The sequence below is a fragment of the Homo sapiens genome, chromosome 15 (genome assembly GCF_000001405.40).
Source record: "Homo sapiens chromosome 15, GRCh38.p14 Primary Assembly".
In the NCBI taxonomy this organism is placed as follows: Eukaryota; Metazoa; Chordata; class Mammalia; order Primates; family Hominidae; genus Homo; species Homo sapiens.
The window spans coordinates 97,687,319-97,700,712 of NC_000015.10; the positions used below are offsets into that span (position 1 = coordinate 97,687,319).

Below are 13,394 nucleotides of genomic sequence, written 5' to 3' on the forward strand. Positions count from 1 at the left end.
TGTAAATCCATAATTTAAAAGCATATGTTTTTAGTAATTGTCTAAGCTATATATGCAAATAATATATCAGTGTTTAGATGGAAAACACATCTAAATGGTTGAGGCAGGCAATGTCAATATTACTTATCTCCAGTTGACTGTTTTCAATTCAACCCAAACTTGGTGAGATACATTTTAGCCAGGATTGTGTGATATAATGATGATGGTGGTGGTGGTGGTGATGATGATGATGATGATGATTTTAAAACTGCTAATATTTACTAAGAATTTATTAGGCTGTAATTCTACGGACCATATGCATGGTAACAATACCTATAACCACTCTCTAACATTGATACTATTTATCTCTATTTTATAAAAGATGAAACATAAGCACAGAAAGGTAAAGTAACTCACCCAATGGCACACAGTTAGGAATTGCAGAGCAAGCCATCAACTGCAGGCAGTTTTACTTCAGAACATGGACTCTTAAATACTATGCTGTCAAGTAACTCCCCAAGGAACACTCCATTTAGAAGCATCTGATGAATTTTGAAATGTGACTCCTGACTACATCACCCTAAGCTCAGTGGGGACATATGGTCACACTAGAAAATAAATTTCAGAGACCTAAGTCCTAGCAGTGACTATCTAGATAATGTTTGAAAACATTTATCTAATGATGAAGTCATTCTATCATGATTGGGTCAGGAATTTTATCCCATGAGGAAGAAAATTTAAGGAAATAGGGGATATTATATAATCAGTGCGGTAAATAAAAATAAAGAACTTACTGGGGATGGGGACCCCAGTTTTATAAAGGTACACAAAGCCATCCAGGCAAAGTCGTTTTTTGTTGTTCTTAACTAGAGGCTGTGAACTAAGCATAACATCAGAATCATTCCATCCCGGTTCTCGTAAACAAGAAGCTGCCACAGAAATAGAAAAGGGGATGGCTGACGGCAAGTAATGACTGAAAAATCAAGCCAACATTGAGAATTAGCTCCCAGTTTTACACTCCCCTTGGCATCTAGAAGAGCAGTGATGAAATTCTAGGGCACTGGTCACACAGTCTCAGGTTTCCACCTGTGTCTGTCACTGCTCGTCTAACATGACCTTGGCAAGTCACTTCAATTCTGTAGCATGGTGAAGATCTTAGTTATGCCTAACTCACTAAGGTTTCATGATTCAATGAGTGAAATAATAAATGAAAAGTGCTGAACACAGAGTCTGGTGCAGAGCAGAAACTCAGGAACCTTAGCCAAAAGCCTTGTAGTGGTTCTTGACTCTTCCCTTTCATACTCTACGTGAGATTCCTCAGACAATCCTTGGGCTCTGCCTTCAACGTGCATCCGGATTCTACCCTCGCTCACTTCCATGGCCACCTGGTCCAAGCCAGAGGCATCTCTTACATGGCTATAGCAATAGCCTTCTAACAGGTCTTATTTCTTCCTCCTGTTTTTTACAAACAATTTTCAGAGCAGTCAACATATTCTGCTAAAATTGTAGTCAGAATATATCACTCTTGTTAAAAGAGAACCTTAGACAAATTAAATTTAAAATAGTTTAATTGAGCAAAGGACAATTCCCAAATTGGGCAGCCCCCAAACCAGAATAAGTTCAGGCAGATCCTGGAGCTGTGCACAGTCAGATAAAATTATGGGCAGAAAAAGGAGAATGACATGCAGAAAACCGAAGTGAGATATAGAAACAGCTGGATTGGTTACAGCTCAGTGTTCGCCTTATTTAAACCCGGTTTGAACAGTTGGCCACCTGTGATTGGCAGAAACTCAGTGATTGACACGAGAGTAGGTTATAGTCTGTTTACACATCCAGTTAGTTTACAGCTCACTATGTAAGAAGAGTCCTTCAGGCTGAACTTGAAATATGTAAGGAGGCAGCTTTAGGATAAGCTTAATTTAACACTCTGCTGCTTGAAACTCTCCAGTAGTTTACCATCTCATCTAGAAAAAACATAAATACTGCAAAGATTTACAGCATCCGTGCCCCCATTCATCACCCCTTTCTCTCCGGTTTTAACTTCGACAGCTCATCCCCTGCCCCTGCCTCCAGCTACCCTGAGTACCTGGTGCTCTCCAACCCACAGAGCACAACTCCTGCCTTGAGAGCTGCTTCTCCCACTGGAAGGCTCTTCCCAGTCCTGTTCACCTGACTCTTGCCCGCTCTTCTCTCAAGTCATTGCTCAGATGTCCACCCCTCAGTGATAATCTGAGGGCTTGACACCCAATCATGGCCACTCCTCCTCCATGTTTATTCTTTTTTCCCCCAGTACTCACCACCATTGGGCATACTATACTATACTATACATATGCATGTGTGTGTGTGTATATATGATGTGTGTGTGTATTTTACTTATTCATTTCTTCTTTGTCTCCCATTTGTCTCCCATCACTAGATTGCAAACTCCATGAAGATGCTGGGGCTCAGGCTGATACCCCACAACTGGGTGCCTTGACATGCTGAACTGAGAAAGAAGCATCAAGTTCTCTCTGACCTTCTCCATCCCCTCTGTCTCTCCCAAAGCACAGGATGAAGTTGCTCTCTGAAGTTTCCTTATCTGCCTGAAGTCCAGATTCACCAAAGAAGGAAATTACCTTTGGCCCCTTTTTGGAATTTTCATTAACTGAACTCATATCTCAGGAAGAAAGACTGCAGTCGGTCAACACACCAGGACAGAGTTTTGTCACAAGCATTGTCTGCTGCATGGGCCAAACAGACTTTGTCCCTGGCCATTGTATGTGTTTCAAGCCCATTGACTTCCCATATAAATTGTTTACTATCCCTCTAAAATCATCCACACTTCCCCACCTCCCTTCCCTTTAAGAAAAAGGGTATGTAACCATCTGTACCCCATTGCATGGTGGGATAATCACTCTTTGATTCCCCACCCCTTCCGTGCATGTTATTAAGTTTGTGTGCCTTTTCTCCTATTAATCTGCCTTTTGTCAGCTGACTTTCAGCAAACCTTCGGAGGGAAAAGGGACATTTTCCCTTGGGCTCTACAAGGACAAGAATTTGTTCACAATGACATCCCCAGTGGCTATACCACAGTACCTAGCACACAGTGGGCACTGAATACATATTTGACAAATAAATGCATTAATAAAAATAAATTAGTAAATATGAGCAATTGTTACTTTGCAATAAATACTATTATTTATGCATGGTGGTAAGTAATTATCTACCCCATAAAGCATGCAGCCAAAGTGGAATAAATATGAAATATGGACAAGAACACAGAACATGCACTAAAGAAGAAGACACGCCCATTGGGCTAAAGAATCCTCTTAAAGGAATATCTGAGGGGGAAGAATGCAAAAAAAACAGAACAAAACAAAACAAAACAACAATAACAACAACAATAACCTATTGTATTAGTCTGTTCTCATGCTGCTAATAAAGACATACCTGAGACAAGTAAGTTATAAAGGAAAAGAGGTTTAATGGACTCACAGGTCCACATGGCTGGAGAGGCCTCACAATCAAGGCAGAAAGTGAAGGGGAAGCAAGACATATCTTACACGGTGGCAGACAAGAGAGAGCTTGTGCAGGGGATCTCCCATTTATAAAACCATCAGATCTCGTGAGACTTATCCACTACCAGGAGAACAGTATGGGGGAAACAGCACCCATGATTCAATTGTCTCCACCAGGCCTTGTCCTTGACACAAGGTGATTATTATAAATCAAGGTGAGATTTGGATGAGGACACAGCCAAACCACATCACCTACTGTTGGTAAAACTAACCTCTACTTTAAAAGTCAACCCAACATAATAACAATTACAATGGGAAGGGTTTGAAAATATATCAGAACATATTTTTCTGTACCTTTGACCACGTTTCTGCAAGTAGCTATTCCGGCAAAAACTGCTATTCTGTTATATTTTCCAGAAGGATTTCACTCCTCCCCTTCACGCCCTAAGCAAAAGTGCCAGAAAACAACAGTCATCACAATGACCTCAACACTGATGAGAAAGATTAGCAACAATCTGAATAACTGTCTCATGTTGCAAGGGTTATTTATTATTCCTTTTTTGTTAGTTATCACATAGAACAGGTTGGCAGAGGTGAACAACAGTGGGGAGAAAGTCAAAACATTCTCCAAAGAAGCAAGTAGAATCAACTCACACTGACACCAGGAAGAAGTCTGCAGGGCCTGTGCAGTGGAGACAAGAGCTTCTATTGCAGGAAAGCCTTCTCCTTATGGAACTCAAGATGAAGTTAGTGATTTATTTGACATGCTGAATTGAAAAAGAAGCATCAAGTTCTCTCTGACCTCTCCATCCCCTCTGTCTCTTCCAAAGCACAGGATGAAGTTATTCTCTGAAGTCTTCTTATCTGTCTGAAGTCCAGACTTACCAATGAAGAAAACACTTATCTCAGAGTAATTGACAATGACTCTAATAGCAGCTAATTTTTTTTGTTCAAATCTAACTCATTATGTAAACTTCCATTTCTCAAAGAACTGAAATCCCCAAGTCTGGACTGCCTCTCTGCCCTCAGGGGTTAGTGACAGGGGCATGCAGACCCACCCTGTGCTTGTACCCCTACCACTCAGGATGAGTCTCTGACACCTCTGGGATGACACATCACCCCTGCCACTCCCTGCCCAGATGCACTGCACCACCTACATGGGTCACCGTCAGGCATAACGATGAGCCATCTGAATAATGACATCAGTTCTGGAATGTAAATAAGACAGCCGCCTATTCCATCCCACAGTGTGGAAGTTGAGTCAACACAGTCCTTTGAAGCTACAGCAGCGTGTGTTTTAATCAATGTCTGTGTCAGAGGTGAGACAGCTACCCTTTACCTGCGAGATGGCCTGTGACCTTTCACCTGTCAACAAGGCTCATTTGCAACAACTAACTCTTAGTCATTACCTGAAAATTCCATGTCATAAATAGAAGGCGCATCCCTGAGAGGTCAGTGGACAGATGGAAGGCAAATCCTGCCCAAACCATGCATGGCACCTTGCAGAAGAGAGGCAGAGCTGCCTGTGCTCCCCCACCCAAGTCAGGTGCTGTTCCCCTTTCTCAAGCAGGCCCCCAATTACTGTGGTTTTTCTGGGCTTCATGGCTAGCCAGCTCACCACGACAGCACAATACCGTGTTCTCACTCTCCACGCAACCAGCTATTTATAACTGCAGGATGCCAGGCTTGCATAGAGCAGTGTGACACTTCCAGAAAGTCGCACTGCTATTTTAGCAATCTCCTAACGAGGAGCACCAACAGACACAGCCTGTCCTCGCCAGGCAGAGGGAGTGAAAGTGTTCTGGAAGAGGAAGACTGCAATTTGTGCTTGTGTGTGTGTTTTATTTTTTAACCTGGGATGCCATTTAGCAATCTTAAAGGGACTGTCCTTCTCAGCCACCTCCCCCAACCCCCCAGCTGTCTTGATTAGTGGCTCTGTGTATGCTGGTCAGATCTGGGGATTAATGATGGCTAATTTGCCCGAGGTTGGTGCAGCCCAGGCAGCAGACGTTGCACAACCAGCTTTTGCTGCCATATGGGCGGAAGCAGCTGTTTCAATTACTTTCTGTGCCCAGATGTGTCAGACGAGCCACCAGTCCTCTGCGGGGTACATCAGCCGCACGGCAGCTAATTGCTTCAATCGCATGTGGAAGCGTGGTGCTGGGTACTGTGAAAGGGGGTTTTGGGGACAGCCAAGTGCCAGCTGTCGTCACGGCTCACAATGCCAGCAAGCTGAGAGGCTGAGACTAGACTTCAGTCTTCACTTGCTGGCCTACCTCGATGATACCTGGTCTGGCTGTGTCTTTGTGAGTTGTACACAATGGCGGCACAGAGACAGGTAACTTAACATGCGCTAGGCTGGGGTGTGTTTACGTCTCTGTGTCAGGAGCAGATGAAATTTGGGGCCCATGCTCTGTGGATACCAAAGACACCAAAATTACATGATTTCAATTAACATGCAGTTCAGGCTGGCCATTTGAATTTAAAGCTTCCAGGCACATTTTTAAAGGTTATAATCCCTCCTCCTGGAGCCCAGACGGTGATCAATGAATCAAAGTGTGTGTTACGTTTTCTTGTGTATCACTGAGCCAAAGGGGGATGGGAATGAAAGGTAGGCTAGCACCCATTCCCCTCTGCACTGTCCTAGGCTCTTTAGAAAAGAATCAGAAACATACCTTAAATATATACAATAAAATTTATTTAAGGAAAAAAAGAAATGGAAACAAATATCATGCAAAGATGTCATCTTTCCATTGTTTGGAGTAGGAGTGGTGATGGGAAAACCTGGGGTAAATAGGAAGCTGTTATCATCATCATAATACATCTATTTAGGAAAAGAACAAACATTTGTTTTGTGCTAATTCTATGGTAATCAGGGTGATTGTACTGTACATAGCTACTGGTTGTTGCCATGGTTATTTCAAGCAGTTTGTGGTTATTAATGGCCTAGAATAATCCACAGTACTCAGTTTGAGACCTTTCATCAGAAACATGAGTACTAATTTCAGTCTCACATCCCAACATTTTTGGAGCCCAAAATAAGTTTCCTTTCTCTTAGCTTTGTATATTATGTGGCATCTAATCTGTGTTATGAAATGGTTTGCTCCCTTTTTCACATTACTTCTCCTCAAAAACACCTTTAAAAAAAAAACACCTTTTGACTACAGATCTATAGTATGATTAACAGAGCTCAGCGTTTTTCTACTGATCTATTGATGAATATGTATTAATGCAACCTAGCCAAAAACTGCATTGAGAGAATGAACATGTAATCTGTGTTCATGGACTCCTCTTTCATAGTCAAACCATGCATGGAGTCTGTGAACTACCCATCTCCGGCCCAGTAAACCAGTGCTTCAACACTGGCCTGCCTGCCTGCCTAATGTTACATCTCGAGTTGAATCTTCCTTGAGTCTGGAAAACAGTTATTCATTTCCCTCCTGAAGCTGGCCACTCCAAGCAAATCACAATATACTAGTTTTGTTGTCGTTGTTGTTATTATTATTATTAATGAATGTGGTAGTGGTGCGTGTCTATGTCTTCAAGAAGATAGTCATCAAGAACTATGTTTCTTAAGAAAAATATCAATAGAATTTTTAGAGACTGAGTACCAATGAGCATTGTTTGAGATATTTGTGATCCTGAGCACCAGACAAATTGGATCAACTCTTCCTAAAATCAGGAAGCTGGCATGAGTTTCATCTATCAATTGAGATATAACAAATGACCCCCAGATTAAGTGGCATAAAACCATAAGGACTTTCTATTTCCCATGCTTTTGCGTTGGCCTGGACAGTTCCGCTATACACACCATTCACAAGGAGGCTGGGTTCAGCGGGCAGCCGGGCTGGGCTGGGCCGGATGTTCTCCAGGCAGGCATCCTGCATCCAGGCCTTGGTGCTCACTGTCAGCGGGAGGCTGGCTCTCCTACCCTTGCCTCTCCCTCTAGGGGCGGGAGGCTGGCTCTCCTACCCTTGCCTCTCCCTCTAGGGGGTATGTCCTCCTGCAGGGCCTCTGGACATGGCCTGTCTCTAGCTGAGGAGCTTGGTCACCCTTGTTGGCAACTGATTCCCAAGACAGCAAAGTCAGAACCTTCCAAACACACGCTCCAGGCCTGTGACAACCCAGTTCTGCTCCAGAAGAGGATCTGCACACACAGAGAGTCCAGGGGAGGACCATGGTGGAAGGTTAGAGGCCCCACGGTGTGAGCTGGAGGGCGTGCAGACATGGAATAAAGAGATTGTATCTGAAACAAGTAAATAAGTTGGAATGCCTTTATATTAATTTCATACAACTTTTTTTAAATGAAAGAAAAACAAAAAAAAAACCTTTTAATTCAATAGTATGGTCCTCTCTTTTATTAAGACACATAGAATATTGAAAAACCAAACAAATTTTCTTCTTTTTAAATCTTTCTTCTCCTGAAAACTACCAAAGTGGTATCGATTAGAATATTTCCCATGTCTTTTATCTGCTATTGAATAACAAGAATTGAAAAGCATAATTTGCTCTAAAAGAGAGGCCCAAAATTGTCATTCATAGGTGACTAGAAAAAGAAATTCTTCTCCAAATGTTCCCATTCATGCCTGTGCTGGGTCTTAGCTGAGCCGAATTTACGTATTGATGCTCCAGTGCCTGCTGATTCCTTGAGGCATTCCAAGATTCTCCTGGGAAAATGCTGCCTCCATCTGACTGTGGACTATCTATAGATTAGTAATCACTCCATTATTAAGCATCCAGGGGAGTTGTAATCCTTTCGGTGAGCTATCCTCTAATAAATGATGCCCTTTGCCAGAGCAGGGAGAGCAAAACTGGCAATGTCACCAAGTTTTGAACTAAATCAGCTTGGTACTTTTAAACGACAGAATAAGAAAATAACACATACACTGTAGTGATGCCTAACCGAGGCTGCACATTAGAATTTCTTGAAAAGCATTAAAAATAATTGCTGGACCGCACCCCAGGCTATTAAATTGGAATCTCTAGGGACATGAGCGCTCAGTATTGATACTGTTTAAAGGCTCTTTGGGTGATTCTAGTACTTTGAAACGAATTTAGAGAAAAAAATACTCAGCTGGCCTATCGTTTTAATTTTGAATGAAATAATAAAATTTATACTAGACAGGTTAGTGTTTAACTCTCAGCATTCTCTTACAATTAACAATGATAAATAACAATGATTGATTGCTGACTCTGTGCTAGGCACTATGCTGACTTCATATATGTATATACTTATAACTATTTAATCAATAAGTCTGAGTTAAATGTTAGGGTAGTCCCATTTTCCAAACGAGCACACTGCCGCCATGAAAGGTTAGGCAGAATGCCCAATGTCACCTAAAAAGTAAACAGAGATTCTCAGATGGGAACACAGAGAATTTACTCCACAGTGCCTGTTTTGTTTTTTGTTTGTTTGTTTGTTTGTTGAGACAGAGTCTCGCTCTGTACCCAGGCTGAAGGGCAGTGGTGCCATCTCGGCTCACTGCAGCCTCCACCTCCCAGGTTCAAGTGATTCTCTGTCTCAGCCTCCTGAGTAGCTGGGATTACAGGCACACACCACCATGCCCAGCTAATTTTTGTAACTCTTTTTAGTAGAAGCAAGGTTTCACCATGTTGGCCAGGCTGGTCTTGAACTCCTGACCTCAAGTGATCTGCCTGCCTCAGACTCCCAAAGTGCTGGGATTACAGGCATAAGCCACCATGCCCGAACACACGGATTTGTAAATTTTTATTTTGAGGAAATTGCAGATTCACTTGCAGCTGTAAGAAATAATACAGAGAGATTTCATGTGCCCTTTATCCAGTTTCTCTCACTGATAACATCTTGCATAATTATAGTAAAAAAATCATAACCAGGAAATTTATACAACAAGTTGACACCAATGAAACCCAGCAAACCATGCTGATATTTCAGCAGAGGTTGTCTGTGAGTTTGGTGCAATATTATCCATGTATAGTCACATACATGTGACCCCAATACAGATACAGAGCAGGTGCATCACATGAATCCTTTATGCTACCCTCTGTAGCGATAATCGCCTTCTCTTTTTCCCTGTGCCTTACACCCTGACAACCACAAGCACTAATCTCATCTCCATCTTTCTAATTTTTCACTGTAAAAGTGTCACACAAACAGAATCATGTGGTACGTAATATCTTGGGACTGGCTGTTTTCACTCCATGCATTTCCGTTGTGATACGTCCAATTCTTTGCACATATCAGTGATGTTTCACATTGGGCAGGTCTATGAAACCTTGCCCGAAAACCTGAGGAAGCTGAAAGGCCAAAGAAAGAGGCTGACACTTCCAGTTTCTTAAAAAGAAACATTTAACAGGGACTCGGGAACAGAAGCCACGTCTATGACTCTGGCAGTGGCAAGACAAGATAGTGCATCCTAACCCCTGCGTCAAACACCCCAGAACCAGGAATCATGTACATGAGGAAGCGTTTTACATGATTCAGAAGGCATGTGCAGGACAGTTGAGGTAGGGTAACATCAAGATTATTTGACATAAGGGTAGGATTTATAGGATTTACAGTAAGTACCCGCTGTTACACAAGGAGCAATAGATAAACTGGAAACTTAGAGGACTTCCTGGAACAAGGATTAATCCGAAGTCAACATGGCAGATTAGAATCCAAGATGGAGTTGCTCTGGACCTCACAAATGGTGTTACATTTTCAATGTTTGATTTCTCTCAAACTCATGTTGAAATCAAATTACCATTGTAGCAGTATTAAGAGGTGGGGTCTTTAAGAGGTGTTTAGGTCAAGAGTGCTCCGCTCTCATAAATAGATTAATGTCATTATCTCGGGAGTGGGTTTATCCCCTCCTTCTCTCTCTCTTAGCCTCTCTTCACCTTTCTGCCATATCATGCCCTCTGCCATGTTACAACTTCGCAAGAAGGCCCTTGCAAGATCCCAGCAGCTTGATCTTGGACTTCCCAGACTCCAGAACTCTGAGAAATAAATTTCTGTTTATTATAAGTTGCCGAGTCTGTGGTGTTCTGTTATAGCGGCACAGCATGAACAAAGACAAGTGGTTTGCTCCTTTTTATTCCTCAGTAGTATTCCATGATATGGATGTGCCAGAGTTTGCTCATTCACCATCAAAAAGGATTGCATTGCTTCCAGGTTTGGGCTATTATAAATAAAGCTGCTATGAACATTCACATACAGGCTTTTGTATGACATAACTTTTAACTACCTGGGATTAACACCCAAAATGCAACTGCTGAGTTGTATGGCAATCACATGTTTAGTTTTGTAAGAAACTACCAAACTTTTTCCAGAATGACTGTACCATTTTACATTTCCACTAGCAATGTGTGAGTGATTAAGTTTCTCTGCATTCAGTCCAGCATTTGATGTTATCATTATTTTGCTGTTTTAGCCATTCTGACAAGTATGTAGTATTAACTTACTGTGGTTTGAATTTGCATTCTCTAATGGCTAATGTTGTTAAATGTATTTTCATGAGTTTATTTGCCATCTGTATATCCCCTTCAATGAATTGTCTGTTCATATCTTTTGTGCATTTCTAATCGGAGGTTTTTTATAGTTGAGTTTGAGACTATATGTTATTTGAAAATATTTTCTCCCAGTCTGTAGCTTGTCTTTTTATCCTTTTCACAGAGCAGAAATTTTTAGTTTTGATGAGTCAAATTTATCAACAAATCAGAATTTTTTCACAGAGGAAAAACTTTTTGTTTTCATGAGTCAAATTTATCAGCATTTCTTTTTATGGAATATTTTTTGGTGTTAATCCTAGGCACAAACCTTAAGGTGTGATTTTGTTCAGACTACTCAAATTCTCTAGACCTCATGTATTTTATCCTTACAGTTTGGGTAATATGAGGTAGGCTACAGGGTAAAAGTGAGGTTAAATGAAATAAATAATATACATAAAGTGTATGGTATGGTTCTTGGCATATTAAATGTGGGGTAAATCATAGCTGTTTTTCTGAGACAGAACTGCCAAAAATATTTTCCTCACCCTATTCATTTTATATTTTTATTCATTCTATTTGTAGCATGATTTTCAATTTACAAAGCTCTTTTATTAATTTAGTAGAGCTTCAGAACAACTTTTAAGTAAATTTTTATTTTATATAGATGAGACCCTCAACACACAGGGAGCTAAAATGATTTGTCCACGTTCACTCAAACAGTAGGTCATGGATGCGTGGCACACACCCAGTGCCTCTGACCCAAAGCTGGCATTATTATTGTTACACACATTCTATGTTTTAACTTGCCTTTTAATTGAATAATTAACCACATTTTAACAGAGTCATTTTCTCAGTAAAGAATAGTCTCAAGTCCAAAGGATAGGTAATGGAATATAATCAATCTCTCTGACTCTTTTCCTCCATCACCAATAAATACTATGATACTATCAAACCCTGCGTTTAACAACTGACATCTTTCAACTCTGGGAGAGATTGCCTGATTCATTTTTTAATATATTTTTTTTAATATCAAGGAAATATTCTATTTACCTGAATAATTTGTGTGGCTTCATTTGAATATTTTCCCATGGATCAAATTACTGTGCCTAGAAGTATATCTACAATACACATACTGTGAATCGACAATGAGAAACTTATTGTTAGAATTGGGGGATATGCAGCCACCAGAAGGAAACAAATAATGTACCTGAAGAAGATGAGGACATAAATTAACTAATTAATTGATTCATTAAATTAACTTAAATATTTCTATTACAGTCCACCCCTTGACTTCCCAGTAGACAAGTGTCCTTCTTCTCATATATATGATTTTATTAGAATGTTATAGATTTCTTTAGTATGACTTCAACATTATATTCAAGAGTATTTATCCTTCAAGTATTGGATTTTTAAAAATTATCATGTATTACCATGAATGTATTTCTTTCCAGCCCTTCCAAATAGGAATAAGCTAATTAATTTATCCAGAGATAATGTCATAGGTCCACTCTTTCCTCTTCAATGTATTTCTGTTCCTTGTAGAGTTGAGAACTACATGTAGCCCCTTATACATCTGAAATATATTATCTAAATTTTAAATTCAGTAAGCCTAAAACATTTGAATAATGGTAGGTGAAAGGCAGAAAAAGCCTCAGTAAAATCCCCATTTGAAAAAGAGAAAAGTAGAAAGATCAAATGGTGTTCAGTGTCCCATTGTGTGTCATTTTCTTCTAATCAGGCATGTAAAGAGAAATGATAGGCTCAAAAAAGCATTCGGGTGTCCATTAGTTTATTCACTTTTTTAAATTTTGAAGTGAATTCACTCCTCAGCCACTCTGGATTACCCATACTTTGCCCCATGTGATATTTTTATATCTGATTCAATACCTTTCATAGATAGGCAACAAAAAGAAAATGAAAAAAATCCTCTAACAATAAGTATACACTTTTAACTTCGCATTTACAGTTAATGTGAGGCCATGTGTCTAGTATAGATTTGAAGGACCCTTTCAGAGTGGTATTCCCAGACAGCCAGCATTTGAATCCATGACATTTAAAAATTATTTAAAAACTAGATTACTGGGCTTTAACACTGACCTACTAAATCTCTAAGTATGGAGCTTAGCAACTGATCTTTTAACACAATTCCTGGTCAATTCTTATACACAGTAACATCTGAGTACTACTACTAAAGGGTTATTCAATCAAAGCCCTTCTTCTGATTAAACCTTAGTCATCTGTGTATCAATCTGAATATGGTATCTTTCTAAGCTTGCCAATAATCAACACTTTATATAAAAATGTATGTAAAATAAACATAAATATATACACGTTTGTATAGGTTTATAATATTTATATATAATTACAAATATATTTAAAAATAAATATACTTATATACATATATATTTGTATATATACTCTAGCCATGGCCTTTGAATCTGGACTTTGCATTTACATTTCAGTTTC

General features: G+C 40.0%; 4 annotated features.

The window, feature by feature from the left end:
- Positions 4,022–5,221: an enhancer, noted in NCBI's record as "P300/CBP strongly-dependent group 1 enhancer chr15:98234570-98235769 (GRCh37/hg19 assembly coordinates)". NCBI's record gives its function as "activates an origin of replication core promoter dependent on BRD2, BRD4, P300/CBP, MED14 and CDK7 cofactors, with strong dependence on P300/CBP, by STARR-seq in HCT116 cells {active_cell/tissue: HCT116}" and the evidence as "EXISTENCE:reporter gene assay evidence [ECO:0000049][PMID:35650434]".
- Positions 4,022–5,534: a biological region, named in NCBI's record as "P300/CBP strongly-dependent group 1 enhancer GRCh37_chr15:98234570-98235769".
- Positions 5,033–5,534: an enhancer, noted in NCBI's record as "H3K4me1 hESC enhancer chr15:98235581-98236082 (GRCh37/hg19 assembly coordinates)". NCBI's record gives its function as "activates a minimal SCP1, AML or CMV promoter by ChIP-STARR-seq in naive H9 embryonic stem cells {active_cell/tissue: H9 hESC(naive)}" and the evidence as "EXISTENCE:reporter gene assay evidence [ECO:0000049][PMID:30033119]".
- Positions 5,535–6,034: an enhancer, noted in NCBI's record as "H3K4me1 hESC enhancer chr15:98236083-98236582 (GRCh37/hg19 assembly coordinates)". NCBI's record gives its function as "activates a minimal SCP1, AML or CMV promoter by ChIP-STARR-seq in naive H9 embryonic stem cells {active_cell/tissue: H9 hESC(naive)}" and the evidence as "EXISTENCE:reporter gene assay evidence [ECO:0000049][PMID:30033119]".